Source organism: Homo sapiens, chromosome 21 (assembly GCF_000001405.40).
Source record: "Homo sapiens chromosome 21, GRCh38.p14 Primary Assembly".
NCBI lineage: Eukaryota > Metazoa > Chordata > Mammalia > Primates > Hominidae > Homo > Homo sapiens.
In genome coordinates this window covers 25,943,290-25,963,163 of record NC_000021.9, presented here as the reverse complement: position 1 = coordinate 25,963,163, position 19,874 = coordinate 25,943,290, and the positions used below count along the sequence as shown (strand labels likewise).

General features: G+C 38.8%; 1 protein-coding gene across 11 annotated transcripts in view, besides 2 other annotated features; it reads left to right on the top strand.

Moving 5' to 3' along the window:
• Positions 1–19,874, top strand: part of APP (amyloid beta precursor protein) — a 290,579-nt gene that overhangs the window by 207,965 nt on the left and 62,740 nt on the right. For all 11 annotated transcript variants that reach the window (NM_001136131.3, NM_001136129.3, NM_001136130.3 and 8 more), the window contains 2 exons: positions 7,409–7,537; positions 8,475–8,574. In NM_001136131.3, the coding sequence (NP_001129603.1) occupies positions 7,409–7,537; positions 8,475–8,574 (229 nt within the window). The remainder of the gene's footprint in view (positions 1–7,408; positions 7,538–8,474; positions 8,575–19,874) is intronic.
• Positions 1,751–2,446: an enhancer, noted in NCBI's record as "OCT4-NANOG-H3K27ac hESC enhancer chr21:27333032-27333727 (GRCh37/hg19 assembly coordinates)". NCBI's record gives its function as "activates a minimal SCP1, AML or CMV promoter by ChIP-STARR-seq in primed H9 embryonic stem cells {active_cell/tissue: H9 hESC(primed)}" and the evidence as "EXISTENCE:reporter gene assay evidence [ECO:0000049][PMID:30033119]".
• Positions 7,301–8,500: an enhancer, noted in NCBI's record as "CDK7 strongly-dependent group 2 enhancer chr21:27326978-27328177 (GRCh37/hg19 assembly coordinates)". NCBI's record gives its function as "activates an origin of replication core promoter dependent on BRD2, BRD4, P300/CBP, MED14 and CDK7 cofactors, with strong dependence on CDK7, by STARR-seq in HCT116 cells {active_cell/tissue: HCT116}" and the evidence as "EXISTENCE:reporter gene assay evidence [ECO:0000049][PMID:35650434]".

The window sequence follows — 19,874 nt, the reverse complement described above, 5'->3', positions numbered from 1 at the left end:
AAAAAGTAAATACGTCTAAGAAATGGGGAAATCAATAAAAAATGTACTAGCACCAGGGGCGGTGGCTCACGCCTGTAATCCCAGCACTTTGGGAGGCCGAGGCAGGTGGATCACCTGAGGTCAGGAGTTTGAGACCAGCCTATCCAACATAGTGAAACCCTTCTCTACTAAAAATACAAAAATTAGGTCGGTGTGAGGGTGCACGCCTGTAATCCCAGCTGAACTCAAGAGGCTGGGGCAAGAGAATTGCTTGAACCCAGGAGGTGGAGGTTGCAGTGAGTTGAGGTGGAGGTGCACCACTGCACTCCAGCCTGGGCGACAGAGTGAGACTCCATCTCCAAAACCGTGTTAGCTTTTATCAGGAAAGGCCATTAAATTTTCTTCAATATTACCTACATCAATTTGACATCAAACTATAAGAACACAATATGTGAGATGTTTTGAAATTAATGAAATGAATCTTCTCTTTGAGACGAGTTTGTGCACGCTATGAAGTCCATTAAATATTTTCTGGGAAGAGTTCCCAGTTAAAACTACTTTCTAAAGTACCCAAGCACACTATATAGATACATCAAGTAGGTTTATTAATGTCAGTATTTCGGTGAAAATTGGGAAGGCCACTATTCTGAGTAGAGAGGTGTTTGTTTTCTACTTGAAGACTATGAAGGATATTCTGCACTACTGGGCCTATTTCTGAAATTGTATCTAGCTGCAAGTTACTCATTAATTTAATTAACAAATATTTATTAGCAACCAAATTGTGGCAGGAACTGTGCCTAGAGGTAGAAATACATTACGCTCTTGTTTCCAGAGAGGAAAATGAGTAATGTTCTAAAATGTAAATCTTATGTTTCTCTTTCCTCTTGCTGTAAATGATGTCTAAGCCATTTCGGTGGTGCCTGTTCTTAATCCTTTAATAAATTATTTTGAATGATTTTTTAAAAGGCAGTGTGATTGTGAGGTGAGTTTAGTACAAATTAAAAAATGTCACATCAGTTGCAAACAGACAGCACATAATTATGAGCTAAACACTGTTTCAGAAACAGTAGTGACAATAAATAGGATTCGGTATAATTAGTCCTCCTGGGACAGATCTCTTCCTCTGTTCTTTGCCATATATTTTAATAATGAGATTAGCCATCTAATGCCAATATAACCAGACTGTAGTATTAATACACAGAAAAATTATTGCTAGTAACAGAAGATTTAAAGACATGAGGGTGATCCGGATTATATGCCTGCAGGTTAAAAAAAAAAAATGTTTCTTAAACTCTCTTTATCAATATCCTTTTCGTGAGCCACTGAATTCTTTTGTTTTTCTGATCATATGAATAACCCGTCTTAAGTATGAATATTGTGACAATAGTAATAGCAATTACTTTAAGAGAATATGTTTCTATAGAGATAACAGAGGGGTTTTTCCCTACCATTCCTGTATGAAGGTTTCTGTGTTTTTAATTAAAATTTTAAGAAATTCATCTTTGTCTTAGCATAATAAAATAAACCTCACTAGACAATCAGGACACCTTGTTATTCTTAGATACATTATTATAGCTCAAGAAATAACAAATGTTAAGCCTGGAGGATTTGTATTTTGGCCAAAAGTTGTGAGGGCAATTATTTATTTATTTGAGTGAAATATGCAGGAATCATATATCAAAAGGAGGGAGGTCTTTTTTTTAACCTCAACAAAAATATAAAAGTATAGGGAACTGTTATCTATGTGAACCCAGCAAATCTGAGACAGGTCTCAGTTAATTTAGAAAGTTTATTTTGCCCTGGTTGAGGATGCACCTGTGACACGGCCTCAGGAAGTCCTGATGACATGTGCCCAAAGTGGTTGGGGCACAGCTTAGTGTTATGCATTTTTAGGGAGACATGAGGCATCAGTCAATACATATAAGAAGTACATTGGTTTGGTCTGGAAAGGCGAGACAGCTTGAAACAAAAAGCAGGAAGACTCGAAGTGGGGAGGGGCCTTCTAGGTCAGAGATAGGTGAGATGAACAGTTGCATTCTTTTGAGTTTCTGATTAGCCTCTCCAGGGTAGACAATCAGGGTGATTGGCTCTAAGCAGTTCCCAGCTAGACTTTTCCCTTTAGCTTAGTGATTTGGGGGCCCCAAGAATTATTTTCTTTTTACACCTGTGTTTTTTCTTTCTTAACTAAAAATAGTATTTGTTTCTGAGGGATAGAGATAACTACCATTTTATTTGGTATGATTTATTTGCCTACCGTCCAACAAAGAAGGTAATCTGATTTTGTTTTCATTTCCAAGCATGATTCCTAGAGATGTGTTTAGGTGGCCAAATCAATGAAGCAGAACCCTGCAAATTCATTTATTGGGAGATATCCTAAGGTCTTCCTGAATTATCTGATGTTCCCAGGCTTTGCTTATCCAATAGGCATTAGGAAGAAAAGGCTTGTGTTTATGTAGATGCACACAAAATGCGCATCTCAGCTTACATAAACAGTGAAGGGGTTTCCCAGGTCTCATTATCCCTGGAGGAGCTGAGGCCTGGGGAGTCCTCAGAGCCTCCTTTGCTACTCTGTTATTGTGGCAGGCCAAATCTCACTAATGCAGGCCTCCGTAACAGCTGTTTCCGTACTGACTGAGTGGTTCAGTTAAATACTAAAAGCTAAAAAAAAGCCAGCGCCCTTATACAGAGGCTGGAATGTAACAAAAGCCCACCAAGAGTTTTGCCTAGGCCTTTCCTGGCAAAACCAAGGAATTCTTAACAGGACCCATTTAGGATTAACAAGTTTTACTGGGAGTCTGAAGAAACTCTACAGGCCTCCAAGAACAAGTTTACTGGAGGTCTGCAGGAACTCCTCAAACCTCCCTGATTTAGCAGGAGACAAGATAAGAGTAATCACCCCAGCACCTAGACCCATTTAGATTAAGTAAATTTACTGAGACTCCAGAGGAAGGTCTTCAGGACTCAGACCTTAGTTATGGATTAAAGAAGTTAATCACTTCTGTCATGAGATGAATGCACACTTACACGTAGACATACAGCTTAGAAGGCATATAAGTTCTGGAAACTTTGTAATTTTGAGTTGGTCTGGCACTAATTTCCAGGCCATCTCCCTGTAAAAGGTTACAAAAATAAAAACTCTCTTCCTCCCAGTTCATCTGCATCTCGTTATTGGGCTGTGAGGTATAGTAGCCCAACCCTCAGTTCAGTCCGGGAACATTATTATCAAACTCTGGGGATTTTCAGGATAAGTTAGGAATATATTTTGAAGGAGAATGGCAGTATTAAATGAGATCAGCAATTGAAAACATGTGAATACATTCACCATTTAATTACCCATCTCAATAGAAGATAAGGATGAATTTAGCACTAGAAACCATGAATGTCACAAAAGCCTAACTTTAATACCTTGAATCACTTTCCAGTAATCCTAATCCTTTATCCACATGGATAGAGGACATTCCTATCTTGCTCTTTCTTCTCCCCACACATTAGCTTAATAATTAGCTAAATAATTTCATGCATTAGCTAAGGAATAATGGAACTCCAGAAACCTAGGACAGTAATTGAGAGACTGAACAAGCTAAATCTGAACCTTCTGCACAATTAAAGGAGCTGATGTTAGCATGGCCCACAGAATATTACCTGCACTTGTAAAAACTAGAAAGTCAGGCAAGTACTCCTGGAACAGACTGTCTTTTCTAACCATGCACTTATTTCTTTGTTTTTAACTTTGTTTTTGTTTGTTTGTTTTTGAGACGGAGTCTCGTCCTGTCGCCCAGGCTGTAGTGCAGTGGTGGAATCTCAGGTCACTGCAAGCTCCGCCTCCCAGGTTCAAACAATTCTCCTGCCTCAGCCTCCCGAGTAGCTGGGACTACAGGCGCCCACCACCATGCCTTGCTAATTTTTGTATTTTTAGTAGAGATGGGGTTTCACCATGTTGGCCAGGCTGGTCTGGAACTCCTGACCTCGTGACCTGCCCGCCTCGGCCTCCCAAAGTGCTGGGATTACAGGCGTGAGCCACGGCGCCTGGCCTGTTTTTAACTTCGTAAGTTGCTTTGTAGAACTATCTTAAACTTGGTCTATTTTAGATTCTCCTTGAAGGGCCAGATCACAAAGTGATTAGGAGAAGGAGGCTCTGGAGCCAAGACAGTGAGACTAACCCATTCTTCAAATCTAACACTAACTAGCTGTGTAACCATTGGGCCAGGGATGTAGCCTATGTAACCACAATCTCCTTTGTGCTTCATGCCTCACCAATAAGGTGGGGAGAGCTGCTATGACTCTGTCATAGGGCTGAGACGAAGATTTGATGAGTTACCAGCAAAAAGCATTTAATATACTGTCTCATTCAGAAGCAGTCAATACACATTGAACTCTTATTACTTAGAGGAAAGAAAGGGGTCGATGATTTATAGATAAGGCCTGAGTGAAAGAAATAAATGTGTATTGAGTATCAGCAATGGACTACGCATCATTCTGGGTAACTATCACTGAACACATTTAATCTGCAAATACTATCTGAAAGATACTGCCATCTGAATTGCATAGGTGGGAAAAGTCAAGGCTTTTGTGCTTATTTTTAAATGTATGTTAACATGAATAATTAATTGGCCGTGCACTGGTCGCACGCCTGTAATCCTAGCACTTTGGGAGGCCAAGGCGGGCAGATCACGAGGTCAGGAGATGGAGACCATCCTGGCTAACATGGCGAAACCCCGTCTCTACTAAAAATACAAAAAAATTAGCTGAGCATGGTGGCACGTGCCTGTAGTCCCAGCTACTCAGGAGACTGAGGCAGGAGAATCACTTGAACCCAGGAGGCGGAGGTTGCAGTGAGCCAAGATCACGCCACTGCACTCCAGCCTGGGAGACAGGGCGAGATTCCATCTCAAAGAATAATAATAATAATAATTAGTGGGAATATATGCTGTTTGTTGTGATAGGAGAAGAAAAGGGGAGATCCAGATGTTGGTCATCAGAAATGACCTGCATCTTCTCTAAATTGAAATTTAGCTTGAAGTAGTAATGCCAAGGCCAGCCTGGGGCCATGGCATCCTGGTGTACCTGCTTGTTGGTGACAGTCCTTTTAGGACAAAATATCTTACAAAAACATTCATAGATGACTAACTGGAAAAAAAGAAGTTATGATGAAAAGCAATTCTTACTGTTTTTGTTTTTTGTTTTTTGTTTTTTTTAATTAAAAGACAGGCAGTTATTCTCTTTCCCAGGCTTGAGTACAGTCGTGCAATCAGGGCTCACTACAGCCTCAACCTCCTGGGTTCAAATAATCCTCCTGACCAAGCTTCCCAAGTAGCTGGAACTGCAGGCATGTGTCACTGCACCTAGCTAATTTTTAAAATTTTCTTGTAGAGACAGGTTCTTGTAATGTTGTCCAGGCTGGTCTCAAACTCTTGGCTGCAAGTGATCCTCCTGCCTCAGACTCCCAAAGCAATCCTTACTTTTTTAATTGAAGTGCTTTTTTTTTTTCTTATTTAAACTCTTAAAAATTCATCCCATTTTCTTCAAAACAATAAATCCTTTACAAGGGAGAAAAATGAAATAGAGCAACTAAGAAAGCATCCATGAAGGCCAGGAAGGAACATCATGGTTAAATGCGATTAGTCACAGCCCCTTCTGTCTCCAGTCTTGGATGAATAATGGTAACAGAACTAGAGAGATTTCTAAGACCTTGGTGCTTAATAACAAGCAAGCATCGAGGGTGGTTGTGCAAGATCCTGATCACACAACTCTGCATATCAAATATCCTTCACAATCAACAAGAGTCAGCCTTTAATCTCTGATGTTTTCAAATGTTCTTTTTTTTTAATTCACATGTATAACCTATCCTCTTTTCAATATATAGAGATATAGCTTATCAGTCATTACCTCTTTTACTACTTTTCTTCTGAGATTTAAAAGGTCATCCTCTGATTTGTAAATTCAACCAGATTTCACAGTTCAGATGAGAGTTGTAATAAGTTGCCAAGAACTGTTGCAAGCTGTGATGGCTGTCTTTCTGGGGATTATAGAGAAGCACATTTCTTTTAGGAAAAAAGAAGGCAGATGAGCCCAAGTTGTTTTATTTTTATTGTGTATATGTATTTGTTTTCTCAAGTACAGTAGCATGGCCTCTGTGGCAGGCATTCACCAAGCAAATACAGAGCACCCTCTGGGTCAAGCACTGTGTTATTGGGGTTCCAAATAAAGAAAAAAGACCAAATCCAGCCCTGTGGATCTCACATTAAAGAGGGGAGTAAGAATCATAGATAATTTAATGAGTTAGGTACATTAATGGGGATTTGCACAGTATTTCATAGGAGCACAGAAAAAGGGTACCTCGTTCCACCTGAGATGGCAGGGAGATGGCTCCTAAGTTAACTAAGCAAAAGGGGAAGGAGAGGCACATCCCATAGGATATGGATAACACAACAAAAGCTCCATTACCACCCGCCCCACCACCACACACACCATCTCTGGAATAAATTTTGTACCTTCCAACTGGTTTTCAGGGTACTCATGACACATGGGTTAATAATAGCTAGGTTTGCCCAAATGACCAAAATTCTATTCCCAACATGAATTTTCACAACTGGTTTTTTTGTTTGTTTGTTTTAATGAAGAAGAAATGTTGTGTTTTTGGAAATCATCTTACAAAATCATGTAGTGGAATGCATATAGTGATGAAATTGTTGAAGACCAGGGAATCTTTGTCCTTAGTTTTTATTAGGATGGATGTTTTCAGGTAAAACTAAAATAAAAATGAAATGGAACCAATTAGAAAGAAAATAGGAGCACTTAAGACGAAATGTAATTGTTGCTGAAAGAATTAGAATCTGATAGCTTAGAAAGAACTTAATTAAATTTCAGAGTAAAATAAATACAGTTTAGCAATGGCCTTTCTCCTAGAAAAATATAATGTCTCTTACAGTTCAGTTACTCCTTGGCTTACAAAATAGTGGTTAAATTTCCTGTTTTTCTCATTTTGATTTCGTATGTTACATGTTACTGGTGATGGGATTATCTGTGTGACATTACCTCTGGTCTTCAAAATGTACACGTAGCAATGTAGTCTCACATATGCCCCTTGGGTGCGAAAAGAGAAGGACCTAACTTAACCTGACAGACCTCAAATCTGTTCTCTTTCTATAGCAGAGTACTCCTATTTAAAAAGAAAATGTTGAGTAAGGAGGACAGTCATCATATATGTCGAGAATGTTAAATGCTCTTGTGGAAGTGAAAAGCAGCCGATCTAAGTAATTACCCATTAAGAAAGGAGTAGGAGAAATGTTTAGAAGGCAGACCTGCAAAAAGGTGACTCACAGTACGTTCACATGACCGGATGCATTAGTGGAACCTCTAACCCATCGCCAATGGAAGAAGCAGTGTTTTGCACAAACTTGAAAAAGAGTTTTTCATTTTCCTCCCACAGCCTCGTCACGTGTTCAATATGCTAAAGAAGTATGTCCGCGCAGAACAGAAGGACAGACAGCACACCCTAAAGCATTTCGAGCATGTGCGCATGGTGGATCCCAAGAAAGCCGCTCAGATCCGGTCCCAGGTAAGCGTGGGGTATAATCATCTTCTGCAGCTTTGACAATCCAGGATTCTTGCTTCTTGGGTTGGTGACAGGATCCCACGCATTCTCCGAGCACCTATAGGTGTTTTCCCTATGGCAAGAGCTCTTTAACTTCTGGTAAATTCTAAAAGCTTGTCTTAGAGCAATATGTGGTTTGGCATTTTCTGAGTTATGAAAATAACAAATGTAAAAATCTTAGTCTACTGCTAACTGATTGCTAAGGAACTGATTAAAACCAATGACTAAAATGAGAAAAACAAAAGTTGTATAAACTAAAATCTTGAAAACTGGTTCAACTGAAGTATGGCAGGCAATCATAAACCTACTGGAATGTTGAGATTTCATGTGAGCCTAAATGAAGCCCAGTAATAATGTATTTTATACTCCCCGGTTCCCAAAGGCTGAAAACTGGGATCTACCTTAGGAAATGTGAAATTTTACATTTTCTTGAATGAAAGAGTTAAATATATATAGCATGAAATAGCCAATCAAATTGAAATACGTTGTTTTCTAGGGGGAAATTTGCAAAGAAATGTATTTAGGCATGAGGGTCCTGTTAAGAGAGCCTCAGTATTAGGAATCAGAGGTGGCAGAGGTAGCCTTTTTAATTGGCTGTTATAAGCATACAAGATAATGGTAAGTTTCAAGATCAAGTCTTAAACCTGAGCTCAAAAAGTTAGAGAACAGAAATAGGAGAACAAGAAAAATAAAGTTGCCCTTTCAGTTCAACCTTTTTAACAGTAGCAGTGTTTTGTCAGTTTTCTTTTGGAAGTTTGTATCTACCTGCAGTGCTTGGTAAGAAAAATAACCTGGGCGACAGAGCGAGACTCCGTCTCAAAAAAAAAAGAAAAAAAGAAAGAAAAAGAACCATTCCTACCCCCAGACATTGTTGACCTGGAGTTGTCATCCTTTGATGCAGGTTATGACACACCTCCGTGTGATTTATGAGCGCATGAATCAGTCTCTCTCCCTGCTCTACAACGTGCCTGCAGTGGCCGAGGAGATTCAGGATGAAGTTGGTAAGTAAGCTGTTCTTTTGATGCTGCACATGGACATGTATTTTCCCCCAGAGGAAAATTGAGGAAGTGAGTTATCTGTTTGAGGAATATGGAAGTTAATAGAACAGCTTGCCTTTTACGATGAAACTGTCAGGCTGGAACTAGCTTACTAGCCTTAGCAATTGAATCAGTTCTTACCTCTCCATACTTGTAAGACTGGAGGAATGTCGCCTGACTTAGGGTATAGTTTTGTAATAATTGGACACTTGTTATTGAATTATACGTGGCAGCATTTTTTCTAATTTGCCCAATCTTGTTATGGCTCTCAAATTATGATGCTTTGGTACTTTACAATTAATGGGGAAAAAAACTCATTCTTCATCTTTTGAGTGTCACGATTGTTCCATCTTACAAATGAAAAAGCTCAAACTTAAAATTTGAGTAACTTACTGGCCTGTGTCACATGCATTATAAGTAGCACAGCCAAAACACATAACTGTGACTTGTGACTTTGAGGTTATTGTTATATTCAGTAAGTCACAATTCTCTTTGATGGCTGAGCAGGGAAGCCATGAGTGTTCTCTGAACCACATCATTGTTTAAACTTAAAAGATAGTGGGCTATTAAACTTATATTCTGAAATAATTGTACTCTCACAAGAACTTGGAAAAATAGTACAGAGAGGTCTCATGCATCCATCACCCACATGCCTCACCAGTGACATCTTACGTAACTATAGTCCATTATCAAAACCAGGAAACTGACCTTGTGTGCCCACTGTCTTTTATGTCCCTAGTTTTCCTAATGACTAATGATTTCATTTAAGATCTCTCATTTCTGTTTCTCTTGGAAAGAGAATAAAATACCACATGAGTCTCTGTCAGCTGCCAAAATGCCCATAACTGTTTAACTTACTTCACAAAGGTACATAGATGACGATTATGTTGGTGCATCTTTCAATATAAGCATATGTACCTATACTGGAGATTTAGTGTGTAGTCTACCAACATATAAGCAATATGTATCTGGCATATCCTTCCCCATAAAGAATCCTACCCTTTGTTAATTGGGTTGGAAATAGATACAGGTTATCATCTGGAATCAGAGCACCCAGGATGTTGTAGATGGATGTACCCATTACAGTAAGTCCGACTTTGAAGTGCCTGAAACACCGCTCAAGGGAACAGCTGGCCCTCACTTTTTCCCATTTTATGCCAGTGTTATTCTGCTCATTCTTTCCTGATTTATGTGGCCTTGTAAATATTGTTTGTATTGCTGTGAAATATTTGGCATGTGTCAAGTGATGATGTTCTGTTCAGTACTGCACATTAATGGACGGAATCTGAAATTATACTTTGAGCTACATAACTTGCAGAAGAAACTTCATATGTCAGGGAGGTGCAGTGTCCCAGAACTTTGGGAGGCCAAGGTGAGCAGATCACCTGAGGCCAGGAGTTCGAAACCAGCCTGGCCAACATGGTGAAACCCCCTCTCTAATTTAAAAAAGAAGAGAAAAAAAGCAACTTCATAGTGTGCCAAGCTTTTGTTCAGAAGGAGCAACTCAGTGTTGAGCAAGAATTTATGAAGATAGTGGAGGTGGAGTTTTTAGTCTACACCATGAATTGAGAACAGAGATCTCCAATTAATTTTTCACTGTATCAAGTTTCTTTAGCAAACAAATATACTTTTCAGGTATACTTGGAGAATAGACATCAGTAAGGAACCTTTAAAATACTATGTATTAAATAAGTGTAAAGAAGTTCTCCAAAAAGTTGTAGAAGGTACAAAATGAAATAATTTATCAGTCTTAATGAACTGAAGCTAAAATCTTCTAGAAAACATGGTTTGTTTGTTTGTTTGTTTGTTTTTTACAGCTATCTTAAGCCTGTTTTCACATGTGACTTCAGTTGAAGTGGCATAGGTAATAACTATAGGGAAATAAGCCATTACAAAGGACTAAAAAGTTGATGACCAATATTCCACCCTCACCCAGCAATTATTGTTGACTCTTTATAATTAAATTATTAGAACTTTTTATTTGGCACTATACTACTGAAAACATTAGCCACTAATTAGTCACACTTCCACAGAACAGATGGTGGTTCAGATATCTTGAATATTACGAAATGCCCAAGAATAGGGCAGCACAATAAACTTCAAATCTCAGTACCAGGGAGGATATTTAGATAACTAGTATCATGGAATCTTTTTCTGTAAAAAGAAAAAAAAAAACAGCCATTAGGTTGGATTAAGAACATATTAGGGGGTGCAGCACACCAACATGGCACATGTATACATATGTAACAGACCTGCACGTTGTGCACATGTACCCTCAAACTTAAAGTATAATAAAAATAAAGAACATATTACGTATGTGCTCTTAATGTGTGTGTGTGTGTGTGTGTGTGTGTGTGTGTGTATGTATGTAATATGCTCTCAATCCACCCATTAGTTGGGTTTTTTTAAGTAATGACATATATATCATTCTAAATATACCAGATGCCACATTCTGAAAGATAATCTTTTTTAAAAACCTTTCATTTGGAATCCTGGGTGCTTCCATTTTTAAATGACTGTTCTCTATAGAAAGAGAAGTTTGCAATAACGAACCCTGTACACTATCTGAGCTGCTAGTGTCAAAGCTACAGAAGTGGTTTGCTGGGGAGAATAGCTTTTCTGGGTTGAACCTAGTTGTCATCTATAGTCCTTTTTCATTTGAAGGAACATTTAAAACAATACGTCCCTTTTTAGTAGGAATATAGTTGAAACTTCAAGATTGGCCAGGGGTGCTAATTGCTTAAGCCAAATGTTATTAGAGGTTCCTCATGTTATTCTTTTTACTTTTGTATGTGTTTAAAATTTCTCATAATAAAAAGTGTTGCTTTTAGCTTACTTTCTAAATAGGTTCTTCATAGATTTTTTTTCCAGGTTATGTCTTGTAGTCGTTCTAATATTCTCTGATTAAATGCTTTGTCATTAGTCTGAGTTGCATTTATTTGCTATTTCTGTATATAATCAAATTTTAGATTTGGAGTCAGTTCAGTACAAATAGCATACTAAAATTCAGAGACACTGGCAAAAGGAGAAAATTTTAAAGTCCCTAAAAATGCATGCCTTTTGTATAGAAGTTTGTGCTTATAAATACAAGCAATTAGGATGTGCTTAATGCAGTCAAACATCTGTAGAGAGATACAATGGTTTAATTAAATAATGGTAACAGTTGCTTTATGGATAAGAGGTTTTCACCAGTCTGGGGAACTGCCAGTATCTTTAGTGGGAGAGGTATATCTGCTTCAGTAAATTATGCTTCCAATTAGAATTCTCTTTTATGGGTGAAAATGAGGAAGAATGGAGTCATGCTGAGAAGAAGGAATGCTATCGGTGAAGGGGAAAATTGACATTAAATTTGTGAGCAGTAAACTGTGACCAGAGCATAGGGTTCATCATGCTTGTGAGTTCTGGCCCTGGCCTTGTATCTTCCATTGTGCTTCCCTGAGGCATCCTGTCTGTTCATGCTACTTTCCCACTAACTTCAGTGAATCCCAAATTCATGGGTCTAGCCACAGCCAGCGTACTGAATCCCAGTGCCATATTCCAGACCCCAAATATCCCATGTGCCTCTGAACCTGCAATCAATGTGTATAACACTCATGTCCTTCTGGAAATTTACTTGTTTTACACACTCTATTCTGAGTTCTCTTGGTTGGCCTAAACTATCCATGATGCCTTCCTCTCCCTCACCCATTATTTCTTATTAGTTGCAAGTTCTGTATATTTGGCCTTCTGTGTTCATGTGAAATCTCTGCACATCCCCTACTTACCTGAGATCCTGTCCTCTCATCAGTGTCATTAGACTCCCAGCCAGTCACCCTACCTCTTATCTCACATTGGCCCCCTCCCACTTCAATTCCTCCTTTTCGGAACTATGCAAGTTCCCTTAAAAACAAAAGACAAAACAAAAAAAACAGCTGCAGGCCGGCGGCAGTGGATCACCTGAGGTCAGGAGTTCAAGACCAGCGTGGCCAACATGGTGAAACCCCATCTCTACTAAAAATAGAAAGATTAGCCAGGCATGGTGGCAGGCACCTGTAATTCCCAGTTACTCAGGAGGCTGAGGCAGGAGAATCACTTGAACTCGGGAGGCAGAGGTTGCAGTGAGCCAAGATTGCACTATTGCACTCCAGCCTGGGCGTCAAGAGCAAAACTCCGTCTCCAAAAAAAAAAAAAAAGAAAAAAAAAAAGCTGCTTGTGGTTTTTCCTTGCTTGAAAAGTTGCACCTTTCAAGATTCAAGTAAAATGCCCAAGTCCTATAAACCCTTTCTAATTTGCATAGAGAACGGAGAAAAGAGCTGGCATTTGAGTGACAACCATGTAACCAACTAATGAGTGCCTCTTTGTGATAATGCTGATGGTCACATTCTTTCTTTATGAATGTTCCCCGTTGAGGTACAGGACCGCCATATAGAGATGTGGCAGTGGCAGGTGGTTTAGGGTAAGAGTGGAGACTGATAATTTTATTCTACATCCCACTCAAGGAGCCAAGCCCTCTGGCATTGTGCACACCCACTGGAAGTGGGCTGTTCTTGCATTTCACACAAAGGCAGCATATGGGCTAGTGAAGATACTCGGAAATTCAGTGATAGCATCCCCAGTTTACAGTTGAAGAAATTGAACTTTGAACCTAAGAGAGTTTGCCAACTTGCCCAGCCCAGATAGTAAAGTGATGAAAGTGGGGTGGAAGCCAAGACCTGCCAGAAGTCCAAAATCTGTGTTCTTTCTGCTGCCTATTTTCCTCTCTGAAGTGGAATTTTCCCCTACTTAACCTCAATGTGAAAGCACTGGGTATCCACCTCCAATACCATACTCTAACTTGGAGTAAATTATTTGTTTATATCTCTACTAACCCTCCATCCTGTGAACTCTTCCAGATATATGTTGGTCATCCTTGCCTCCTCAAGATCCAGCAAGGACCCTGGTACTTTTTAGATATTAGTAATTATAAATATAAGGTTGAAGCCAGTCCCCAGGATAAAAAGGCAGATGCTCCTTAACTTGGACTGATGAAGTGGGCTCCTCCGTAACCCTAAAGACCTGACCAAAACTCCTTCCTTGACATCTAGCGTAAGCACCACACAAAACAAATTTCTTTCCTAGGCCACAGCATCCTCTAAAGCTGTGATTGATCAAGCTAACTAAATGGATGTGGTTGGCCAAGATAACAAAGCATAAATCAGGGTTCTGAGGACCTTTATTAATAAAATTTTACAACATGGTCCTTCTTTGTACCATGACCCTCTGCTATTTGGTCATCTACTTGATTTAATTGTGCTGTCCTGTTTGACCGCCAACCACAGTCTGAAGCTATTCCCATGACAAATAAGTGTGAATTTTCAAGTGTCCTGTTGTGTTATAAAAGGCCCGTGTTTTATTTTATAATTTCATATTTTTTTCATTCAATTTTAATTATTATGTGCAAGTTCCCAGGCTCAGTCATTTATTAATGTTTTTATTTTTTAAAAAGTTATTTTCAGGCAGATTATGAAGATTTCTTGCAAAGAATGGCCTCAGGCATTGTTTGTATAGAGATAAAATCTCCTCTTTTAAATCACTATGTAGGTCTTCATTAATATTTTTTCATTCAACAAACGATGGAATCATTATTTCAGTGAAACTATGGCTCCTCTTCAGTGTTCATATTCTGCTTTAATTATTTATTAATCCTTCAAAAGGGCAGAATCCCTTCATCCTTTCAACCTTTGCTTTGTCAAATTGTTACTTAAAAATGATTGGTGTTTTCTTTGTCCTTTGTAATCTTCCTTAAATCTCTGCTAAAAGGATTCTATTCTACTCTTTGTATTGGCACTGAGGTTATTTATCAAAGTGTGCTTCTCTTTGCAGCTACCTCAAGGCTAAAAATGTAGCTCTTTTCAGAGATGGCTGTTTTACAGAATGCTATAATAACCAATTTATGAGAAAGGCAGTAGGAAATAAAGAGGGAACAAAGGCATAATTGTTTCATACCCATTTTTTTTCTTCTAGCATTCAAAATTAATAAAAACATGAATTATTATAAACCAGATGCGGGAAAGATCTCTGGCTGAATAAATCCATAGTGAATGGGGCAGGATTGAAAGATATGGCGGGGAATCAAGAAATTCGCAATAATGAAAGGATGCTTATTTTTTATTACAATTTTACTGTGGCCTCTTGATAAAATGTTCCACTCTTCAGGAAAAATGCAGCATGGTTATTTCAAAGACAGTGTTTCCATATTCTGTTTCTAATAAGCCTGTTGATTTGGGGGTTTAGTGGGTCCAAAGTAGACTAGGTTTAAAATAGAATATTTATAGCACTTCCCAGCCCAACAAAATAGAAATTTAATGTTATTGAGAATTTCAAGTATCCTTATGTGTAATTGTTAGTCAAGGATGAACATCAAAAAAAAAAAATCATAACAGCAAATAGAGAGCTGTCACTTTGTTCTTATAAGAACATAGGTGTGACTTTGTTTTTCATAAGAAATGACTTTTAAATGTATATAGATTTAATGGTTTACAGCTGACTTAAGTATTTGGACATAAGAACTTTTTTTTTTTTTTTTTTTTTGAGATGGAGTCTTGCTCAGTCACCCAGGCTGGAGTGCAGTGGCGTGATCTCGGCTCACTGCAACCTCCGCCTCCCGGGTTCAAGTGATTCTCCTGCCTCAGCCTCCCAAGTAGCTGAGACTACAGACGTGTGCCACCACACCTGGCTAATTTTTTTGTATTTTTAGTAGAGACAGGGTTTCACCATGTTGGCCAAGCTGGTCTCGAACTCCTGATCTCAGGTGGTCTGCCCATCTTGGCCCCCCAAAATGCTGGGAATACAGGCGTGAGCCCCCACATCTGGCCAAGAACATTTATACATATTATCAACAACCAAAGCCTTGTTCCCCCATTGGTTTCATAATAGTCTCAGAGCTCCTTATTCATATTTTCCCTAGTGTTATTAAGTAACAGACATGAGGCCTGTAAGTTTAGCTGCCTGTGTCTAAATGTATATCTTTGACCCAAGACAATTTCTCTTTCAAAATAGAACCACTCATTTATAAATGAAAATGCTTTGTCAAATGAATGGCAAAGTACGGTATACTATTAAGACAGCCTCCTAGTTTTCTGACATTTGGACTGCCATGTTGAAATGTCTCCACACAGCAAGATACAAATGTGTGAATGCCAGTACACTTCATACCTTAGGTCCCCAACTGGTCTGTCTGCAGACTTGAGGTTACAGACCTGCAGGTGTCGAACTCACCCCATAGTGGTGGTTAGTAGAGTGCTTTGTATACGTTTAGCTCTCTATGCCTTTTTTGGTTGTGATATTAGGTAAGCTCTCTTTTTCTTGCTTTGGAGCTTAATTATGGAATCTGTAAATATAGTGCATATGTCATCCAGATGATCTGTGGAAGTCATTGATAATGACCTTTAAAAATTCACATGTAATACAGCATCCGTTTTCCTGAATGATTTTTATAGTTTTACCATTGGCAAACAGATACTTTCTTTTATGTATTTCTACTCCATAATTTTAGGAAAAAGTAAATCCTTTTAGCTACATTAAAAAGAATACACTTTCTAGGAATAATGAATGTAAAAAAAGTTTCCTTTTTTAAAAAAATATTGCGCTCTCTACCATTCTGGCAGACAAATTGTTGACCTTAATATGTATAATTCAGTGCAGTATATTGATCTTGTTTATTGTGCTCCAAATGGACGCTGGCAGAAATTTGAGGAATTAAATATCAACCACAGTGTTTTCTTCATGCGATTGCAATGGTTTGTTATGGATTATTTTGTTCAGTTCAAATAAATGATGTACGTTCAGATTCTTTGCCCAATTTTTTAATTGGGTTGTTTACCTTACTTTCTTAATTTTATTTTTATTTTTATTTTTATTTTTATTTTTGGAGACAGAGTCCCGCTCTGTCACCCGGGCTGAAGTGAAGCGGCATGATCTCAGTTCACTGCAACCTCCGCCTTACGGATTCAAGCGATTCTCGTGCCTCAGCCTCCCCAGTAGTTGGGATTACAGGCACATGCCACCACATCCAGCTAATTTTTGTATTTTTAGTAGAGACAGGGTTTTACCATGTTTCCCAGGCTGGTCTCAAACTCCTGAGCTCAGGCAACCTGCCCACCTCGGCCTTCCAAAGTGCTAGGATTACAGGCGTGAGCCACTGCACTCGGCCTGCTGTTATTATTGAGTTGTAAGAATTTTTATATATTCTGGATACTATTAAATTCTTATCAAATACATTATTTGGAAATATTTTACCCATTCTGTAGGTTGTATTTTCACTTCCTTAATAGGATCCTTTTGACACACAAAAATTTTCAATTTAGAAGTCTATTTTATCAGTTTTTTCTTTTGTGGCAGTTACTATGGTATGGTATCTAGGAAACCATTGTCCGAAACAAGGTTACAACGATTTATACCTGTTACCTTCTAAGAGTTTTGTAGTTTTAGCTCTTACAGTTAAATCTTTGATTCATTTTAATTTTCATATATGGTGTGAGGTAGAGGTTTGACTTTATTCTTTTGCATATAAATATCCAGTGTCCCAGCACCATTTGTTGAAAAAGACTATTCTTGCCAGGTGCAGTGGCTCATGCCTGTAATTCCAGCATTTTGGGAGGCCAAGGTGGGCAGATGACTTGAGCCCAGAAGTTCAAGACCAGAATGGGAAACATGGCAAGACCACATTTCTACAAAAAAATTATCCAGGCATGATAACATCTATTTGTAGTCCCAGCTACTCAGGAGGCTGTGGTGGGAGGATCTCCTGAGCCTGGGGTGGCTGAGGCTGCAGTGAGCCTTGATCACGCCACCTGGGCAATAGAGCAAGACCCTGTCTCAAAAAAAGGAAGAAAAAGACTATTATTTCCCCCATTGAATGGTCTTGGCACTATTACACAAAATCAATTGTCCATAGATAATATGGGTTTATTTCTTAATTCTTAGTTCTTTTCTTTGATCTGTGTGCCTGTGCTTACTGTAGTACCACACTGTTTTGATTATTGTAGCTTTGTAGTAAATTTTGAAATCAGCAAGTGTGAGTCCGTTATCTTTGTTCTTCTTTTTCAATATTACTTTGAGTATCCGGAGTCTCTTGCATTACAACATGAATTTTAAGATCTTCCTCACCCCCTGCCCCCACTACCATTTCTGCAAAAAAAAAAAAAAAAAAAAAAGTGCGGATTGCATTGGATCTGTAGATCATTTTGGGGAATATTTATATATAATGTTAATGAGGTTTTAAACAACACTTTTATCTACTAGAACTGATATTTGCCTCGAAATGATTCCACCTTGAGCCCCATTCAGGAACGTTAGTATTTTAGAAGTAGCAAGAGAACTGATTTAGCATGCTATCATCTTTTACTCCAAATTTTGGTGAGATTCCAGAGAAATTATTTGTGAGCTTTTCCTTAAGCCATGATGACTGACATGTCAGTAGTTTTTGTCTGTTTTTATGCCATTCTTTTATTTTTGTGCATGTGTGGGCACCTCAACCAAATGGATGGAGCCTGAGGCATGGTCTCCCACGCCAAAGTCTGCCGTTTCTTTTGATGATCCAATGCAGTTCCAAAGCTATTTTCTCAACTCACCAGCTCGTTTGTATGGCCCTGTAATTTGAAACAAAATCTAAAAAGAAATCCAAATTAAAATGATTGGGAAGTGAAGTCAGACCACAGTGGTGGCTGTGGAACTACTTCCTGGCATGGAACACTAGAGCAGATGTGTCCTGCTTTTTTTGTAGAGTCTTGGGAACAACCAATGATTTTAGACTGGAACAAGGGCTGGTTATTCTGTTTTTCACAAGCATCTGCCTTCAAGGTTCATTTTTTAAAAGAGGAGGGGAAAAAAATCAGTGATGTTTGCCACCCTGAGTATGGAGATGAATCCAAATTGAGATTAATTTTGAAATATGTTTCCCGAATTTTGAGATTAATTTTGAAATATGTTTCCACAAACACTAACTGGGAATGACATGAGTTTGTTTCATGTGAGACGGAGTTTGGAAGACATGTTAATTTGCTTGTTGGTGTTCAACTCAGAAACAAATTTTGCATGTATTTTCTGAGTAAGTGCCATTATTAGTTAACAGTTTTCCTGCCGTATGCACTATGGGCTGCTTTAGAAAGTAAATCATAGAAGGTTAGTTATAATATCTCATCAAAAATAGTGGATCCATCTATTAACCGGTTCCAAGTTATGAGACGTGTCCAAAGGAATGTTGACTTGGTGTGCACCTAAACACTATTTGTGAAGAGGCTTTGGACTTCGAGCATGAAACGGGGTCAGAGGGTCAAGGCCAGGGCGTTACTTAATTTCAGCTCCTGTTGATGGATTCATTGACTTCAGATAGTGCGTTTAAAAAAGCCTGTTTAATGTGTTTGTCTTTTGATAATTATTATGTATTTACATATGCTCCTAAAAGCATGAGTTAAATCTTATTTCTTTGAAACAGTGCTTGGCAACAACTTGTATTGTCTTGTACATGCCTTTTGTGTCTTTGCTTTTGGTTGGGGGGGGGCATTGAAATTTGTCTGCCCATCCCCTGAGGGCAGATACTGAGGTGTGGACCTATGTCTTCAGCTTCCTGTATAGCATTGAAGTTGCTATAGCTGCATGTTCTCTAAAATTTTTATACATGCGATTTAATTGTTAAAGCTTATGATTTTTAAGTATAGTATTCTGATAGCAAATAGATTTTGTCAAATAAAAACTAACTTTATCATCACCACTGAGATATCACTAGGTATATGGCTTAGTTCTCAGTCACCACTTTTATTTGTAAGGAAGTCTTAGAAGTTTTCACAAGTGTATATGTGATAGACTGGGCACAGTGGCTCACGCCTGTAATCCCAGCACTTTGGGAGGCCGAGTCAGGCAGGAGTTCGAGACCAGCCTGGCCAACATGGCAAAACCCTGTCTCTACTAAAAATAAAAAAATTAGCCGGGCATGGTGGCACATGCCTGTAATCCCAGCTACTCGGGAGGCTGAGGTTGGAGAATTGAACCTAGGAGGCAGAGGCTGTAGTGAGCTGAGATCCTGCCACTTCACCCTAGCCAGGGCAACAGAACGAGACTCCATCTCAAAAGAGAAAAAAAAAAAAAAGCTGGGTGCGGTGCTCACGCCTGTAATCCCAGCACTTTGGGAGGCCGAGGTGGGCAGATCACCTGAGGTCAGGAGTTCGAGATCAGCCTCAACATGGAGAAACCCCGTCTCTACTAAAAATACAAAATTATCCAGGCGTGGTGGTGCATGCCTGTAATCC